The sequence below is a fragment of the Homo sapiens genome, chromosome 19 (assembly GCF_000001405.40).
Source record: "Homo sapiens chromosome 19, GRCh38.p14 Primary Assembly".
Classification (NCBI taxonomy): domain Eukaryota; kingdom Metazoa; phylum Chordata; class Mammalia; order Primates; family Hominidae; genus Homo; species Homo sapiens.
In genome coordinates this window covers 38,186,453-38,205,688 of record NC_000019.10, presented here as the reverse complement: position 1 = coordinate 38,205,688, position 19,236 = coordinate 38,186,453, and the positions used below count along the sequence as shown (strand labels likewise).

General features: G+C 54.7%; 1 protein-coding gene and 1 pseudogene across 7 annotated transcripts in view, besides 1 other annotated feature; both read right to left on the bottom strand.

The window, feature by feature from the left end:
* SIPA1L3 (signal induced proliferation associated 1 like 3) overlaps positions 1-19,236 on the bottom strand; it is a 301,162-nt gene that overhangs the window by 2,681 nt on the left and 279,245 nt on the right. For 6 of the 7 annotated variants that reach the window (XM_047438486.1, NM_015073.3, XM_047438489.1 and 3 more), the window contains 5 exons: positions 13,379-13,544; positions 11,909-12,152; positions 7,157-7,300; positions 3,692-3,827; positions 1,481-1,562 (listed from right to left, as the gene is read on the bottom strand). In XM_047438486.1, coding sequence (XP_047294442.1) covers positions 1,481-1,562; positions 3,692-3,827; positions 7,157-7,300; positions 11,909-12,152; positions 13,379-13,544 — 772 coding nt within the window. The remainder of the gene's footprint in view (positions 1-1,480; positions 1,563-3,691; positions 3,828-7,156; positions 7,301-11,908; positions 12,153-13,378; positions 13,545-19,236) is intronic. The other variant, XM_017026518.3, reaches the window with a different exon arrangement.
* Positions 2,133-2,816: an enhancer, noted in NCBI's record as "H3K4me1 hESC enhancer chr19:38693513-38694196 (GRCh37/hg19 assembly coordinates)". NCBI's record gives its function as "activates a minimal SCP1, AML or CMV promoter by ChIP-STARR-seq in naive H9 embryonic stem cells {active_cell/tissue: H9 hESC(naive)}" and the evidence as "EXISTENCE:reporter gene assay evidence [ECO:0000049][PMID:30033119]".
* On the bottom strand, positions 5,157-5,455 carry RN7SL663P (RNA, 7SL, cytoplasmic 663, pseudogene; annotated as a pseudogene).

Here is a 19,236-nt window from a genome sequence, read left to right as displayed (position 1 = left end):
GGGTGGCCTGAGCAGACCCCCTTCTTCCAGGAGGACGTAGCCCCCGAAAGGCAGGGACCTGTTTCAGGTTGCGCAGCATTATGCAGTGGGGCGGGGGTCAGAACCTGGGCCCCTTTGATTCCACGGCTCGAAGACTTACGCATTATATACTCTGCCACCTTTCTGGCTTTTACCCAGAAGTATAGAAACAATAGATAAAAGTCTCCTCCTCATTTTTTTTTTTTTTTTTTTGAGACTGGGTTTTGCTCTTGTCGCCCAAGCTGGAGTGCAGAGGCATGATCTCGGCTCACTGCAATCTCCGCCTCCTGGGTTCAAGCAATTCTCCTCCCCAGCTTCCCAAGTAGCTGGGATTACAGGCGTGCACCACCACACCCGGCTAATTTTGTATTTTAGTAGAGACGGGGTTTCACCATATTGGCCAGGCTGGTCTTGAACTCCTGACCTCACCCACCTCGGCCTCCCAAAGTGCTGGGATTACAGGTGTGAGCCAACGTACCCAGCCAGTCTCCTCCTCATCCTTCCGCCCCATGGAGACAAGTCCAAAGAACAAATTGACTGTCACCTTCTAGATGGCCCTCTCAACCATGGTGGTTAAACAATAAATAAATAAGTATGGTGATATTCTAGACAACACTGCTGCAGCTCGCTTTGGTTTTTATGTAAGTTACTGGACTTCTTTTGCGTGTTAGTAAATATATAGATTTGTTATTACTTTAATTGGCTGCAAGCTGTTCCGCTGCATGGACACCCTATAATTTACACAGCCATTCTCATGTTGAGTGACAGCCACGCTGGCTCCAATTTTTTATTGCCAATAGTGTGGCAACGAACGTCCTTGTTCACAATCTCTTTGTACCCATGCTGTCACGGATAAATTCCCACAAGTGGAATTACTGGATCAACATTTTTTTTTCTTTTTTTTTGAGATGGAGTCTCGCTCTGTTGCCCAGGCTGGAGCCCAGTGGCATGATCTCGGCTCACTGCAACCTCCACCTTCCTGGGTTCAAGCGATTCTCTTGCCTCAGCATCCTGAGTACCTGGGATTACAGGCACCCGCCACCACACCCGACTAATTATTGTACTTTTTAATAGAGATGGGGTTTCACCATGTTGACCAGGCTGGTCTCGAACTCCTGACCTCAGGTGACCCACCACCTTGGCCTCCCAAAGTGCTGGGATTACAGGTATGAGCCACCGCGCCCAGCCACAGTTTTTTTGTGTTTTTTTGATAAATGTTATCCAATTGCCTTCCGAAAAGCCTGGGCTGATTATTCTCCCCCCAAGAATGGATGAGTTTCTCTGAGCGCTTGGTAGCCTGGGGTGTTATCACTGTTTACTCTTCACCCATGACTACACTCAAACACAGGAGGTGTGGGGGTGGGGTGGGTCCTGCATGGCGGGGGCAGGTGCCTGATCCCTGCTGACTGCCCTGCCCAGTGTCTGGGAAGTGGGATGGAGAGGGCGTGGCCCCCGGCCTTACCTTCTGCAGGTCAGTGTGCAGCTGTTTCAGCATCACCTCCAGCTGGTACACCTTGCCTGTCAGATCCAGGGGTGGCTCCTCGCTGGAAAAACCAGGGACAAGGTCAGCCTGAGGCCCTAAAGCCCCTGGGGAAGGCTTCTGGCCCACATCTGAGGAGCCTGGGGGTACAGGCCCCCTTATCCCTGACATTCTAGCAAAGCCTGAGGAGAAGCTCTGAGGGGAAGCAGGAAGCCAGCCCTCCACCCGGCACACTCCACCCACCAAGGGCACCTCTGTGGATGTGGACGGGGTGTTAGGAGCACCAGGCCAGGGGAAGGGTGGCTGCCCACCCTTAAGTGTGCGTTTTCCCTGAGGCTGGGCCGTGCATGTGACTTCAGGGAGGACCCCTTCTTCGTACCTCCAGGATACAAAGAGCCCACTCTACAGACACCTGCTGAGCACCTGGCGGGTCCAGGCACAGGAAGCACGAGAATGGACAGATGGTCAAAAGGACCTGCCCTTGTGGGCAGGACCAACAATGGTCCTGGCAGTGATGCTGACCACGTGGCCGTCACTGAGAGCCACCCCGCAACAAGCCCCAGACTGCCCGGCTCATCTCACAGAGCTCCTCTGCCCACTGTGGCCTTTGGAGGTGCTGCATGGCTACCACGTGCTGGTGCTAGGATTTGAATCAGGGGCCCATGGCCAGTAGCTGCCCCTCTGCAGATCCTCCCAGCCCTGGGCCTGCCTGGCCGCTGCAGAGAACGCGCAGCCCTTTCCTGCTTGGAGTTGGGGCTGAAGGAGGCTCCACTGGATGCCGTGCGTGCACAGGCACAGAGGCGGTGGCGGTCGGGGGCTGGCCCTCCTGCCTCGCCCACCCTTTCCTACAACCTTGCTGCTGAGTCTTGGGGATCTGCAGCTGCAGAGGGAGATGGGGGCAAATGGACTCCAGGAGCGCCGCCCAGGGGCCACAGGTCCCGCTGCTTCCCACAGCCCATGCTGCTCCTGCCCCTCAGCCCAGCAGCACCATCTGGAACTGCTGATTTCTTGTAATTACAGTGGGGCCTACGTTCGTGGTGGAGGTTGAGTTCTGAAGCCAGAGTGTGAAAAGCAAGAAGTCAAAATTACCCTCAAAAATTGCTCCCACTGCCCATGAAGTACAGTGCACGGATGGTTGTATATAGAACCCTGAACCGTGAGGTGTGCAGACGAGTGTGAAATGCACTATTTAAATCCATGTACAGGCAGAATGTGCCATTTACATTCTCTCTGCCTCTTTTTAATTTTGTTTTCTGCCAAGTGAGTGCAGTCAAATATGCTGCGCTGAATGTGAGAAGCCACGCGTGAGATGACAAATGTGAGAGATCTGTCCCCGTCCTCTTCCTTCCCCCGTGAAGCTTCCTGAGGGCCAGGCCTGGCCTCAGTTGCCACTAGGTCCTCAGACAGCCCAGCACGGCACCTGGCAGGGAGGCTGGGAAGGGTGAGCGTGAGGCAGAAGTCTGTGAGGTTTAGGAATCTGCAGAGGAGGAGACGAAGGAGCAGACAGGCGGGAGATTGGCAGCGACGGGGCTGACGAGAGGCACAGGGCTGGGGGATTGGGAGACACTGCCTAGCAGCTTTCCTTTCTTTTTTTCTTTTTTTTGAGATGGAGTCTCCCTCTGTGGCCCAGGCTGGAGTGCAGTGGCTCGATCTTGGCTCACTGCAAGCTTCGCCTCCCGGGTTCAAGCAATTCTCCTGCCACAGCCTCTCGAGTAGCTGGGATTACAGGCACGCACCACCACGCCCGGCTAATTTTTGTATTTTTAGTAGAGATGGGGTTTCACCATGTTGGTCAGGCTGGTCTTGAACTCCTGACCTCAAGTGATCCACCCACCTTGGCCTCCCAAAGTGCTGGGTTTACAGGCGTGAGCCACCGCGCCCGGCCTGCTTAGCAGTGTTCAAAGTTGGAAGCGAAACAACTGTGTGTGTATTGATTCAAGTGTCGTCTCTGCTGGACTGGGAGATCTGTTGGGACTGGGCAGAGTCTGTCTTGGTCACTGTGGATCCCCAGTGCACAGACAGGTGCAGTGTAATGACTTCCAAGTCTGTTAGGAGGGGGGAGTAGCTGCTATATCAGCTTCCGCCCGGAGAGTGGTGGGGGTGACCCACATGGCTGCCTCTCTCTGGGTAAGCCTCTTCCACTGCACAGGCCTGCCGCTGGTATGAACCCGGGTGTTCCCAGGGAAACCTCACCTCATGGTAGGGGTGGTCCTGGGGGTCGGGGGTCCCCTCTCCAGGCTCAGGTGGCTGTGGACAGGACTGTGTGCAGGCGGGATGTCCGGGCTCAGGGCCGGGTCGTTCAGAGAGAAGAGTGAGACGGCTCTTTGCACTGCCAGGGAGGGAGGAGGAGGAGAGGGGTCAGCAAGGCTCCCGGCTTCTCCCGCAACAGACGGACCACGCCTCTCCCTGCAAACCTCCATGATGCCTCCTATCACACTTGGGACAGACTGCATCGGCACTTAGATAGATTCTTGCCAAAAAACCAACCAAATGAACACACAAAACAAGAACACAATCAAAATCCCATCCTGATTCCGATCGAGGCTTTCGATCCAACGACCAGTTCATACAAAACGCAAGGGCTGAAGAAGCCAGTTAGATGAGAGTGCGAGCTAGCAACCGACCGGATTCCGAACCTGGCGTGCTCTCAACATAAGTGACTTGACTTGGTCCACAAGTAAAAGGTAGGAAAAAAGGGTTACAAAGTGGACGGGCTGGCGCCAGGTCCACGGGGATTCGTTATACAATTCGCTCTCCTTCGGAGGAAGCTGGGAAGATTTCAAAAGCAAAAAGAGAAGTGAGACAGATCACATCATGCATATTGAAGACAGAAAAGAAATCGCACGGGGCTGCCAGTGAAAGTGAAGATTCCTGGGTCCCGCCTTGGACACGTGACTGGCACTGGGGGCACCTGAGCTGTTTGCGTTTTCAAACGTGACTTAGATTTTCTTCCTGTAATGGCAACAGCTGGCCACCGCCCTAGTGCCCTCCAACAGTGGCTGGTTCAGTGAGCTATGAACAGCCAGACAATGGAATCCTCGGAGGTGTTAAAAACACCAAGGCGTCCCTGTGTGCCGTGTGTTGAGGGCGGCACCATCAGGGGCAGGGCAGGGCAGGGCAGAGGGCCAGCCCCAGAGGCAAGCAGCTCCTTGGGTCCAACTTTCATTTCTGTGCCTCAAGAATAGCACAGTAAAAACCCCAGCACTCTTTCCCTGGCACCACTCATTGTTAATACTTTGCCCATTTACTTTTTTTTTTTTTTTGAAATGGAGTTTCGCTCTTGTTGCCCAGGCTGGAGTGCGATGGCGCCATCTCGGCTCACTGCAACTTCCGCCTCCCGGGTTCAAGTGATTCTCCTGCCTCAGCCTCCCAAGTAGCTGGGATTATAGGCATGCACCACCATGCCCAGCTAATTTTGTATTTTTAGTAGAGACGGGATTTTTCCATGTTGGTCAGGCTGGTCTCGAACTCCCGACCTCAGGTGATCTGCCTGCCTCAGCCTCCCAAAGTGCTGGATTATAGGCATGCACCACCACACCTGGCCATGATATTATCTAATATACAGTCATCTGCAAATGTTCTCCGATTCTCTGAATAATACCCTTTATAGCTATTTTTTTCTATCTTGAATTTAATGTATAATGACATCTGTTTTTTAAGAGACAGGGTCTTGCTGTGTTGCCCACGCTGGAGTGCAGTGGCTATTCACAAACCCGAGTCCATTACTGATCAGCATGGGAGTTCTGACCTGCTCCATTTCTGACCTGGGCCAGTACACCTGTCCTTAGGAAACCTGGTGGTCCCTGGCTCCCTGGAGGTCACCATATTGATGTTGAGTTTAGTGAAGACACCGCATCAGAACAGCATACTCCAGCCTAGAACTACTGGGCTCCAGCGATCCTCCTGCTTCAGCCTCCCGAGGAGCTTGGACTACAGGTGTGTGATACCATGCCTGGCTAATTTTAAAATTAGTACCTATAATCTCAGCTACTCAGGAGGCTGAGGCAGGAGAATTGCTTGAACCTGAGAGGTGGAGGCTGCAGTGAGCCAAGATCACGCCACTGAACTCCAGCCTGGGTGAAAGAGTGAGACTCTAAAAAATAAATAAGTAAAATAAATTTTTTTGTAGTGACAGGGTGTCGCTACGATGCCCAGGCTGGTCTCGAATTCTTGGCCTCAAGCCATCCTCCTACCTTGACCTCCCAAAGTGTTGGGGTTACAGGTGCGAACCACTGCACCCAACCTGGAATATTTTAAATCAAATTCTAGATGTCTTTGTATTTCATCTGTAGAAACTTCACTAAGTAGCTCTAGTGGATAAAATATATATATATATATTTAAGAAAATTACTATGCTATGAACACATCTACCAAAGTTAATGAGAATTCCTTTAGTCTTTTCCACTTATGTGAATTGCAAGGGAAAACCCACATATATCTTCATTAAAAACCACACCTCCAGGCAAGCTGAAACCACCCTGACCTGCACTCCCTGCCAGCCCCTTTCCGGCTCCCGGGGAGGCACCTCCATGGTGGTGCTGGTGTGCTTCCTCCCAGGTCTTTCTGCTACTCCCCCCTCTCCCCCGTAACCTTCTGTGTTTCATCTATTAATTTTATAAGGAAGCAAAAAGCTCCCTAGGCGACTGTGACGCACAGCCTGGGGGAGAAATCAGTGCCACCAGCCAGGCTCCCTCAGCTTTCTCACATGGGGCGCACAGCTCCCAGGCATGCCAGGCACACGGAGCGGCTGGGAGTGGGTAAGGGGCTCTGGCTATCCTAGCCCTTTCCTGTGGCCCACGGTTGCGGGGGAGTGGTCAGTGTCTGGGCAGCTCTGTCTTCCGCAAACAACACTACAACCGCTGATGGCATCTGGGTCTCCAGGGAGAGACCTGAGGCCTTCCTCACTTCCCACTGTCCTGGAACTGGCTGTCCTGGCCCCAGGATGCTTGGAGACCCACATGAGAGAGGAGATGCCACAGCTGCCTGGCCCCGTCAGCACGGACTTCCAGCACATAAAGGGCCCTGGGTGGCAGAGCAAACCCTGTCCACTGCTCCAGGGAACCCAGGGAGTGAGGATCCCTGCAGGCCTGGTATGGGGAACCCCCAACCCAGGATGCAAGGTCTTGGCAGGACCCTCAGGGCACTAAAAGTCTTCCGCTCCCTGGCTCCCAGATCTGGCGCTGAAAACCCAAATGTCCTCAGGGACAGATTTTTTTTTTCCCCCAGACACGGGGTCTTGCACTGTCGCCCAGGCTGGAGTGCAGTGAGTGCAGTGGTGTGATCACAGCTCACCACACAGCCTCCACCTCCTGGGCTCAAGCGATCCTCCTGCCTTGGACTCTCAGAGTGCTGGGATTACAGGTGTGAACCACTGTGCTTGGCCTCACGTGTTTTACACGTGGTGTTTTGTGTAATCGTCATGGCAGCCTCAGGCATGGTCACTTCCGCTTGTTGGTCAACGTGGTTCGCTGGCATCAAAGAGATGACGACGCTTGCCCGGGGCTGCATGGTAAGCAAGTGACGGGGCAGGACTTGAACCCTGCTCCCTGATTCTGGAACCTGAGTGGGTATCCCTGCAAAGCCATGAGGCCCTCCATGAATCCCTCTAGAACAGAGGACGGGGTGGGGGCCTGGCGGGACTGGGTGGAAGGCGCCTACCTTCGTATGCCTTGGCTGCGTTCACCAGGCTGGACCACTCGAGGCCAGCAGCTGTGTCAGGCAGGGGCATCAGCCCAGGGTCCAGGCGCCGCAGGGGGCGGTCCCGCCCATCAGCCAGCGAGAGCTCCGAGGCTGAGATGGTGGCTGGATGGGGAGGGTGGAGATGGCAGTGGTTGAGTGTGACAATGCGGGAGACACAAATACATGAAGACATCCCATTGCTTATGCAGAGATGCTACATGCCCAGGAAAACCTCCAGCAGGGTAAGGGGTCTGGGAGTGCTGGAGCCTACAGAGGCCTGACTTCAAACAGGGTGCTGGGCCAGGCCTGGCAGAGATGCCATCTGGACAAAACTCTGAAGGGGAGGAGGGAGTGCACCAGGCGGATTACCTGGGGGAGGAACATTCCAGGCAGACGGAACAGCCAGTGCTAAATCCCTGAGGCAGGAGTGTGCCTGGAAGGTTTAAGGAACACAGAGGCGGCCCCTATGGCTGGGAGAGGGTGAGCAAGGGAGGAAGCAGCAGGAGGCGAGAACAGAGGCAACACGGCCGGACCGTGTGGGGCCTGTGGGTCCCAGTGACGACTGTGTTCTCACCCTGAGTGCCCTGGAAGACTCCCTCTGGGTGCATGTGGGGGACGGACTGTGTGTTTGGGGGGGGATTTGGGGGGAGACAGGGAGCAGGTAGGAGCTGTAACCATAACCCACAATGGAGACGGTGATGCTGGGCAGGACCAGGGTGGGGCCGTGATAGGACACAGGGGCAGATTCTGGGCCTACTTTTCAGGGGCAGCCAATAGGATTTCCTGAGGGTTGGATATGGCTGTGAAACAAAGAGAAGGGCCAGGATTGCGGCTCTGATCGGGAAGGCTGGGGTGGGGGATCAGAAATCTGTTTCTGGAGGTGCTCGGTGGAGATGGCCCTGGACATTCCAAGGAGATGGTGGGACGGAGGCTGGCCACAGGAGCTGGCGACGAGGAGAGTCCCAGCTGCACCTGTGATTGGAATCGCCAGTGTATGGACAGTGTTTACACGGGGTGGGGTTGCCGTGGGGGGGCAGGTTCAGGTATGACACGCTGAGCAGAGGAGAGGCCTGTGACATCTCAGGAGTTGGAAGTGAGAAGCAACGGCGCCAGCACTGCACTCGCACCTGCTGCGGCTATTGAGAGAGTCCCAGGCACCAGGCTCGGGCTCTGGCCTGGGGCTCTGTGACTCCTTGAAGCCCCTGAGGGAAGGGGACAGAGGACAGCCAGGTACAGAGAGACCAGAAGACACACCTCAGGGCCCTTAGCTGGGAATCGGCAGAGCCTGACCGTGGGCCCAGCCCGCTCTGCATTCCCGGCACCTCCTCTGTGCAGGGCCAAGGGAGATCATCTCACAGCCTCACTGTGAGGCTGGCGGAGGCGGGGGGTGACATGATCTCTGCTCATGGAAGAGGAAAACTGAGACCCGAGCGAGGCGCTGCCTTGCCTGGGCTCACATGGCTTCCAGCTAGTACTACTCAGTGCTGACTACATATGAGGTATACACTACGTGCTTTCCACATATTCACTTGTTTGATTCTTTTAACCCAGGGATGTGGGCACTATTTTTTACATTTTACAGTCAAAGAAACTGAGGCACAGAGAGGTTATATCTGTGAGTGGAAGACGTGGGACATAAACTCAGGCCGTTCAGCTCTGTGATATGTGGTGTGCAGTAAGTGCTGGCTGAATGAACGAGTCCTTGGCCTCCTGGCTCGTCCCTCAGCCTCCTTGCTCCCCCCTCGGCCTCCTGGCTCCCCCCTCGGCCTCCATGCTCTGCCCTTGACTCTATGTTCCTCCCTTGACCTCCTTGCTCCACTCTTGACCTCCACGCTCCACCCTTGGCCTCCTTGCTCTTCCCTTGACCTCCATGCTCCACCCTTGACCTCCATGCTCTGCCCTTGACCTCCATGCTCCTCCCTTGACCTCCACGCTCTGCCCTTGACCTCCACGCTCCGCCCTTGACCTCCTTGCTCTGCCCTTGACCTCCATGCTCCTCCCTTGACCTCCTTGCTCCGCCTTGACATCCACACTCTGCCCTTGACCTCCACACTCCGCCCTTGACCTCCTTGCTCTGCCCTTGACCTCCATGCTCTGCCCTTGACCTCCTTGCTCTGCCCTTGACCTCCATGCTCCGCCCTTGGCCTCCTTGCTCCACCCTTGACCTCCATGCTCCACCCTGGGCCTCCTTGCTCTTCCCCTGGCCTCCTTGTTCTGTGCCTCTAGCCTGCTGGCGTCTCACTGCTCAGCTGGTGGGAGCCACGGGAGTGGCTGCCATTGCTGAGCAGGGCATCAGGAGCACCGTGTGACAGGCTCCTTGGTGTGGAGGGCACTTGGTTAGTGAAGCCCAGGCCAGGGATGACCATGTCTCTTCATCTGGGATGGGGCCCGGGAAGGGCTCTGGAGCAGGCACACAAGAAATGGAGAGGCCCAGGGTCCCTGGCCACACTGAGGCCAGACGGGACTCTCCCCAGCTCAGGGGTGTGGGGGAGTCAGATGGACAGAGAAGGGTGTGTGTGTGCTGTGTGATGCAGAGGGACCTGAGCTGGGGTCACAGCAGTGACAGAGAAAACCCCAGGCCCCGTCTTTGGGGGGCCCCCGGTATGGTGGTGGAGACAGACACATTCTCATCTAGTGACAGCTCAGGATGGTGATGGGGATACAAGGCGGTGAGTAGGGACGGAGGGGGGTGAGAGAAACCCGGGGGGGCGGGGGGGGACGGGGCCTGTGGTGGTGCCTGACTCAGCCTGGTAGGGGAAGGGAGGGCTTCCTGGAGGAGGGGGCATCTGAGCCAAGACTGAAAGAATGAGGTACAGCAAGCTGGAGGAATTCGGATCGGCCTGTGGAGTCTATGCCTGTGTTCTCTGTCACCACCTCTCCGTGGTGGCCGCTGTCCCCGTCCTTTGCAGTGACTGAACATCTACTTCGTGACCAGCCCTGCCTTGGGCAGAGAGACAGAGCAGCAGGGAGGAGAGGCCGAGGAAGGAGACGTGGAGGGAAGCCTGGGGAGCAGGGAAATTTCCACTAAAGTGGCAGCCCTGTGAGGGCAGGGGTGTGCTCTGCTTGCTCAGGGCCACATCCTGGCACCGAGGGCAGAGCCCCGCCCACAGCAGGCGCTGCAGGAACAGGAAGGGAGCGCAGGGGAGGGCCCAGAAGCTCTGGAGTTGAGATGGGGGCTGGGACCCAGTCCAGGGCTTAGAGGAGCCTTCCAGGAAAAAGCAGGAATGGAGCCAGCCCTGAAGGACAAGAGTGACCCAGAAGAGGACTGAGGGAAGAGCATGGCGGGCGGAGAGAACAGCCGTGCAGGATGCCCTGAGCAGGGAGGGTCTGGTGTGCTGAGTGATCAAAAGGAAGGCTCTGTGAGGTGGAGGAGCAGAGGTGGGCACCCCACACCACCAGGGCAAGGAGTGCAGATGCAAATGCCAAGGCAACGGAGCTGCAGGGGAAGTTTTTTTTTTTTTGAGATGGAGTCTGGCTCTGTCACCCAGGCTGGAGTGCAGTGGCTTGATCTCAGCTCACTGCAACCTCTGCCTCCCAGGTTCAAGTGATTCTCCTGCCTCAGCCTCCTGAGGAGCTGGCATTACAGGCACCTGCCACCATGCCCAGCTAATTTTTGTATTTTTAGTAGAGACGGGGTTTCACCACATTGGCCAGGCTGGTCTCGAACTCCTGACCTCAGGTGATCCACCCGCCTCGGCCTCCCAAAGTGCTGGGATTACAGGCGTGAGCCACCGCGCCCGGCCTGCAGGGGAGTTTTAATAGGGGAGACAGACTGCCCTTCATAAAATTCCCAGAGTCTCCTCCACCCCATCCCCCACAGCTCACAAGAGGCTCTGTACAGATGGCACAGGCAGGCACAGCCCCTCAGCTGAGACCCTTGGGGTAGAACATGCCTCTGAATTTGAGATGTGCTTGGATTTGAGAGAGTAAGTGTGCAGATGCTGTGTATTATGTAACAAACTCAAAAAGGTCAGGGGCACCCCACGCGCAGTGGCACGCCAGCGCTCTGCCCCAAGCTCCTCATTGCTAGCACTAAGTAGGGGGACTATGGACCCTAAACAGCCTCACGCCCCTCCAGGCCAGGTTTCGCCACCCAGTGAGCATGGTGCAAACTTACGTACTGTCTTTCAGTTGTGGGGGGGTTAGGAGGTGGGTAAGGGGGGTTACAGGGTGCATCTGGGGCACGGCCAACTCCAGCTGGCTCGTGGCTTTTGATGCGGGTGGTGTGCGCAGTACCTGTTTACGGGGAGTGCTCAGTAAATATTTTCTGGGTGATTAAGCAGTGAACAAGTCATACCATGCACCACCCCCAAGTGTGGCAAACATGGGAGCAGTCAGGAAAGCAAATAAAATGCTCAGGAAGCAAACCGCTTAGAGCTGGAATGGGTGGGAGGGTTGGGGGGTGCTAGGGCAACAGCTGGGCAGCCCCATTCCCTAGGCCTGTACCCTGAGGGTGGACTTCTTCTCTGGTCTCAGGTGACTCCAATCCTTGGGTGCTTCTGACTCCTAGGTGACCCTCTGATGCTTGGCCAATGATCCCTTGCTCCTTGGGTGACACCCAGTGCCCCACCATCAGGCCCCCCGAAGTTCCTGTGAACCCCATTCCTCCCTGAGATGGCCCCGACACTGATGACCTCTAGCCTTTGACCTCCAGGTGAGCCCCTGCTCGGGCATCCCCACCTCCCAACCTTGGGGTAACTACCGCGCCAGTCCCAGGGGGCCCAGGCTCACATTTCTTCTCGGGAAAGCCGCTGCCGGCGGCAGGGGTGGCACCGGGGCCGACGGGCGGGTGGGGGTGCTGGTGCTGGCGGCGTGCAGGCAGCGTGCTGGACGGGAAGGCGCAGGTGCTGGTGAAGAGCACGTCGCTGGGCAGCCCTGGCTCTAGGCCAGCGGGGCTGGCGAAGCTGGGCTCCCGGCGCCCGCTGCACAGGCTCTCGTCCGACAGCGTCCGCTGCAGGCCCTTCTGCGGTGACTGCTGTGGGGCGTGGGTGGGATGTTGGGGGAGGTCACAGACTGGCTCATAGCCAGGGTCCTCAGAGGCATCTTCCCCTCTAGGACATTGGTGGCGAGTCCTTACCTACCCAGCATCCATTTCTGCCCCATTTCCTTCCTTCCTCCCTCCCTCCCTTCCTCCCTCCCCCCTCCCTCCTTCCTTCCTTTTTTGAGACAGGGTCTCACTCTGTCGCCCAATCTGGAGTATAATGGGGCGATCTCAGCTTACTACAACCTTGACCTCCTGGGCTTAAGCGATCCTCCTATCTCAGCTTCCCAGGTAGGTAGCTGGGACCACAGGTGCATGCCACCACCCTTGGCTAATTTTTACATTTTTTTTATAGAGATGAGGGTCTCATTACATTGCCCAGGATGGTCTTGAACTCCTGGGCTCAAGTGATCCTCTCACCTTAGCCACCCAAAGTGCTGGGATTACAGGTGTGAGCCACCACCCCTGGCCTTCTGCCTCCTTTCTGATCAAAGCGCTCCAGTTTTCCCCCAGGGACTCCCACTCCCCAACCCCACCCTCCAGCTCCGGGTAAGGCTGGCGATCAAAGCCTGATGGGTTGGGGAAGGTGGTGTGAGCCAAGCTGGACCCACCAGAGTCAGTGCTGGGACCCCAGTGGGTAGCGCTGGGCTGATGTGCTCTCTTCCCCCAGCTGTAGGCTGGTGGGACCCAACCCTGGGGAGGCTGGGGTCCACCTCAGTCCCCACAAAACAGCTCCTGCCTGGCAGTGAGGACGAGTAGGGCAGGCCTGGCTGGGAGGGGAAGGGAAGTGGATGCTGTGGAGGTTCCCTGGCACCCACTGTTCTTTCCACCCGTGTCCCTGAGTAACAAGAGTCTGAACTTCCTCTGGGAGCCCCTGCTCCACTCTCAGTCCCTGTGGTTTGGGTGGATGTGGCTGTTTCTATCCTGGGCTGGAGGAGGAGGGCACGAGGCCCTCCAGTTGTGCGAGGTTCTCGGTATGGGGTAGATTCCCGAGTGCCTGCCTGGGCTTATCCTGTGATTCCATCCCAGACCAATGCGCTGCCCTCACTCCCAGCCATGAGCCCATAGCCCCCAACAGGACTGGCAGATGCCAAAGGCTGGGGACACGACGGGAAGGAGCTGGCGTGACCGTGGGGAGCACAGCCCTTCTCCTTGCCTGCCCAGATCTGGGATCCCCTTGGGAGCTGGGGGTCGGGAGCGGGGGACAGGGCCCTACGTACTCCCGTGTCTCTCTCCTGCTCTGGCCCCAGGTTGTCCATGATGATGAGTTTCTTCAGGTCATCCTCGATGGTGGATTTGTAGTTCTTCCGTGGTGACCGGAGGTCTCGGAGGGATGCCCTCAACCTCGGTTGCCCAAAGACATTTTTGGTGTTCGTGTCCACCTGCCTGGAATGACAGCGTCAGGGTCAGAGGGGTGTCAGGGAGGCTCAAGCCACTTTTCAAAGCTGTTTGGATTCAAGAGGGCCGGCCACCACGGGACGCATGGCCACAGCCTTCTCTCCTTCACCCAGCAAACGCGTGGCAGAGAGGGGCTTGGCTCCATTCCCTTCTTCCACAAACGTTTTCCGGGAACCACACAGAGCTGGCTGTGCTGTCCTGTCCCAGGTGCTGGGGACACGGCCGTGAGCACCGAGCTGGCAGCCAGTGGGGGAGGCCCACGCTGAACACATGCACAGAGACAGACCCCCTGTGTGAGGGGAGAGGCTTTTTTTTGTTGTTTGAGATGGAGTCTTGCCCTGTCACCCAGGCTGGAGTGCAGTGGTGTGATATCGGCTCACTGGAACCTCTGCCCCTGGGTTCAAGCTACTCTCCTGCCTCAGCCTCTGGAGTAGCAAGGATTGGGGCACCCACCACCATGCCCAGCTAATTTTTGTACTTTTAGTAGAGACAGGGTTTCTCCATGTTGGCCAGGCTGGTCTTGAACTCCTGACCTCAGGTGATCCACCCGCCTCGGCCCCCCAAAGTGCTGGGATTACAGGTGTGAGCCACCGTGCCCGACCTGTGTCTTTGCCTATTGTCAGTCTACCCAGCAGAACGTGAACCATACCAGAGCAAGGCCTGGGTTTCCCTTGGAACATATATGTAGTCATTTGTGTGTGTGTGTTTTTTGCTTTTTGGTTTTTTTTTTTTTTGAGACAGAGCCTCCTCCGTTGCCCAGGCTGGAATGCAGCAGTGTGATCACAGCTCACTGCAGCCTCAACCTCCTGGGCTCAAGTGACCCTCCTACCCTGGCCTCCCAAGTAGCTAGGACTACAGGCGCATGCCACTACACCCAGCTAATTTTTTTGTAAAGATGGGGTCCTACTAGGTTGCCCAGGCTAGTCCCAAACTCCTGGGCTCAAGCGATCCTTCCGCCTCAGCCTCCCAAAGTGCTGGGATTACAGGTATGAGCCACCATGCCCAGCTTATAAATTCATTTGATCCCCACCACAGCCATATATGTTAAAGACTATTGGTATCCCATCTCATGGATGAGGCTGTTAAGGTACAGAGGAGTTTAGCCACTTGTCCCAAGTCACACAGCCTGTGAAGGAGTCAGGTTTCAAATCAAGGCCGCCAGGCTGCAGTGCCTACCCACGCCACTGCCAAGCTTGACTGTCACGTGTATATCAGAGATGGCAGGAAACACGTATGGTGTGGGGAACAGCCACATTGGATTTAAAAATATGCTTCTGTCTGCAGATAACAATTTCTGGAAGAAATTATGAACCATGATAACCTCTGGGAGGTAGGAATCTTATTAGGAGGTGGAAAAATGGGACTTTTACTTTTCAACTGATATTCTTCTGAAGTGTCTGAATTTACTTAACCATAATCATGGTTATAACAATAAAAATAATAAAAACTAGCTTAATAAAAGCTTTTGCCTGGACTTCTTCATTCTGTAATGCAAGAAAGAAAAAGAGGCTTTGAACCTGGGGAAGAAATAAGATGTCTTGGGTTCCCGAGGGTTTTAAAGACTGGATTTCCTTTTTCTGTTTCTCAGCTGCCAGCCTTGGGATTTTAACAAAGGAAGGGCGAGAGCAAGGCCAGGTTTTTTCCTGGTCAGGTCATATTCCTCCCCAAATTGGAATTCCAGGTCTAGGGTAATGCTGGGTCTGTCAGTTATCAGGGATGTGTATTCTTTGGGCAAATTAAAAGCTTTAGATTCAAAAGAGAGAAATAGAGAGACAGAGAGACAGACACAAATCAAAAGGGGACTCCCCCACCCCTTTTGATTTCAATATTTCCCAGAATGCCCTGCACAGGGGAGTGTGACTCAGTGCAGGGCTCATGGTGCCCATCTCCCGGCAGTGAGGAAGCAGGCCTGGCCTTCAGCACGCCCCCCAGCCAGTGCACTGCCCACAGGCTCCCCTCGAGAGGGGCGTGCCAAGACCTCCTGGAAGCATGAATAAAATGTGCTTGCTCTCTGCACTAGCAGTCCTACTTCTGGAAACGCGTCCTTCAGAAAGGCTCACATGAGTCCACAGTGCCACATGTGCACGGACACTCCCAGGGTCCTGTCTGTGGAGCAGACAGCAGCCCCCAGCCAGGAAAGGGCCAGGCCCACCACCCAGAATCACACCCTCCAGAGACGCATGGCAGATCCACATGGCGTGCAGAGGCAATCCCAGATACGACGTCATGTGAAAAAAGCAGCATGTATAGCGCGAAACCATTTTTAGAAAACTCACACACAGCTCAGCTTGGTATACTGGAGTTTACCAAACTCTCGTTTCTAATACTGGACACGTGTGGGATTCACTTTCTTTTTCTATTTTTTTTGAGACAGGGTCTTGCTCTGTTGCCCAGACTGGAGCCCAATGGCACGATCTTGCCTCACTGCAACCTCCGCCTCCCAGGTTCAAGCAATTCTCCTGCCTCAGCTTCCCGAGTAGCTGGGATTACAGGCGCCTGCCACCACGCCTGGCTAATTTTTGTATTTTTAGTAGAGACAGGGTTTCACCACGTTGGCCAGGCTGGTCTTGAACTCCCGACCTCAGGTGGTCCGCCCATCTCGGCCTCCCAAAGTGCTAGGATTACAGGCATGGGCCACCGCGCCTGGCCAAAAATGACATCACTTTCTACACACTGATACGGAACTATTGCCAAGAAACTTAGGTCAGGCATGGTGGCTCATGCCTGTAATCCCAGCACTTTGGGAGGCGTAAGTGGGAGGATCACTTGAGCCCAGGAGTGCGGAGTGTGAGACCAGCCTGGGTAACACAGTGAGATCTCACCTCTACAAAAAGTAAAAAACTAGGTGGGTGTGGTTGTGTACTCCTATGGGCCCAGCTACTAAGATAGGAGACTGCTTGAGATCGGGAGGTTGAGGCTGCAGTGAGCTATGATGGCACCACTGCACTCCAGCCTGGGTGACAGTGAGAGCCTGTCTCAAAAAAAAAAAAAAAAGACTTGAAGAGCAAGAGCAAGTGAGGAAGTAGTTCATATGCAGGAGGTGACCACATTAATAAAACAGGTGCAAGGGAAGCCCACACAATCATGTGTGTGCAGTCACGTTTGGAACATTTCTGGAAGGATGCAGAAATGAAACAATGGCTGCTTTTGGGGAGGGAGCAGGATGGCTGAGGGCCAGGGAAGGGAGAGAGGCTTACTTTTTTTTTTTTTTTGAGACGGAGTCTCGCTGTCTCCCAGGCTGGAGTGCAGTGGCGCAATCTTGGCTCACTGCAAGCTCCGCCTCCGAGGTTCACGCCATTCTCCTGCCTCAGCCTCCAGAGTAGCTGGGACTACAGGTGCCCGCCACCACGCCCGGCTAATTTTTTTTAATTTTTAGTAGAGACGGGGTTTCACCATGTTAGCCAGGATGGTCTCGATCTCCTGACCTCGTGATCCGCCCGCCTCGGCCTCCCAAAGTGCTGGGATTACAGGCATGCGCCACCGCGCCTGGCCGAGAGGCTTACTTTCTATTGCAAACCCTTTTGTAGTATTTTATTTTTTACCTTGTGCATGTTTTATCTTTCAAAACCTCAGTGAAGAAAACATCCTCCAGGTTCTGACTGACAGGACTGGACATCATCTCTGAGTTGCCTCTGTTGTCTAAATTTTGGGCCTGGCATGGTGGTTCACGCCTGTAATCCCAGCACTTTGGAGGCCAAGGCAGGTGGAACACTTGAGGTCAGGAGTTCGAGACCAGACTGGCCAACATGGTAAAACCCCTTCTCTACTAAAAATACAAAAATTAGCCGGGCATGCTGGCGGGCACCTATAGTCCCAGCTACTCGGGAGGCTGAGGCACGAGAATCACTTGTACCAGGAGGCAGAGGCTGCAGTGAGCTGTGATCATGCCACTGTGCTCCAGCTTGGGCAACAGAGTGAAACCCTGTCACCACCACCACCACCACCACCACCACAACAACAAAACATGTTTAATCTAAAATAATTGAGTTAGAAGTGAAGTGACTCAAAAGTGCCTCTCACGATAACAAAGACACTGTCTCCAAAATGCTCAGTGAGCTACAGCACATACAAGGGGAATGTATGAACAAAAATAATAATTCTAAGTTAATATTTTATATATGCAATTTTTTTTTTTTTGAGACAGAGTCTCACTCTGTCGCCCAGGCTAGACTGCAGTGGCACGATCTCGGCTCACTGCAACCTCCGCTTCCTGGGTACAAGTGATTCTCCTGCCTCAGCCTCCCAATAGCTGAGACTACAGGCACCTGCCATCATACTCGGCTAATTTTTGTATTTTCGTAGAGACGGGGTTTCACTATGTTGGTCAGGCTGGTCTTGAACTCCTGACCTCAGGTGATCCACTCGCCTTGAAAAAAGTTTTTTTTTCCTTTTGTCTTTTTTTTTTTTTTTTTTTTTTGAGACGGAGTCTCGCTGTCGCCCAGGCTGGAGTGCAGTGGCGCAATCTTGGCTCACTGCAGGCTCCGCCCCCTGGGGTTCACGCCATTCTCCTGCCTCAGCCTCCCGAGTAGCTGGGACTACAGGCGCCCGCCACCTCGCCCGGCTAATTTTTTGTATTTTTAGTAGAGACGGGGTTTCACCGTGTTAGCCAGGATGGACTCGATCTCCTGACCTCGTGATCCACCCGCCTCGGCCTCCCAAAGTGCCTTTTGTCTTTTTTTTGAGAAAGAGTTTCACTCTTGTTGCCCAGGCTGTAGTGCAGTGGCACAATCTTGTCTCACTGCAACCTCTGCCTCCCAGGTTCTAGCGATTCTCCTGCCTCAGCCTCCCTAGTAGCTGGGATTACAGGTGCCTGCCACCACACCTGGCTAATTTTTGTATTTTTAGTAGAGATGGGGTTTCACCATGTTGGCCAGGCTGGTCTCAAACTCCTGACCTCAGGTGATCCACCCATCCTGGACTCCCAAAGTGCTGGGATTATAGGCGTGAGCTACCACGCCTGGCTGAAAAAAATTTTTTTATGCAGGTGGGACCTCACTATGTTGTTGCCCAGGCTGGCTTCCAACTCCCAGCCTCAAGTAATTCCCCCGCCTCGGCCTTCCAGAGTGCTGGGATTACAGATGTGAGACACTGCATCTGGTTGTGATTTTTTTTTTTTTTTTTTTTTGAGACAGAGTTTAGCTCTTGTTGCCCAGGCTGGAGTGTAATGGCACGATCTTGGCTCACCACAACCTCCGCCTCCTGGGTTCAAGCAATTCTCCTGCCTCAGCCTCCCGAGTAGCTGTACATGGGATGTGGAACAGATTACAGGCATGCGACACCACGCCTGGCTAATTTTGTATTTTTAGTAGAGACAGGGTTTCTCCATGTTGGTCAGGCTGGTCTCGAACTCCTGACCTCAGGTGATCCACCTGCCTCAGCCTCCCAAAGTGCTGGGATTACAGGCATGAGCCACCGCGCCACACTCGGCCTTGGTTGTGATTTTTAAAATGTATCTGCAACTAAATACATATGAAAAGGGGCCGGGTGCGGTGGCTCACAACTGTAATCCCAGCACTTTGGGAGGCCAAGGGGGGGCGGATTGCCTGAGGTCAAGAGTTCGAGACCAGCCTGACCAACATGGTGAAACCCCGTCTCTATTAAAAATACAAAAATTAAGAAGAACAAAACAAAACAAAACAAAACAAAACAAAAATTAGCCAGACATGGTGGTATGCGCATG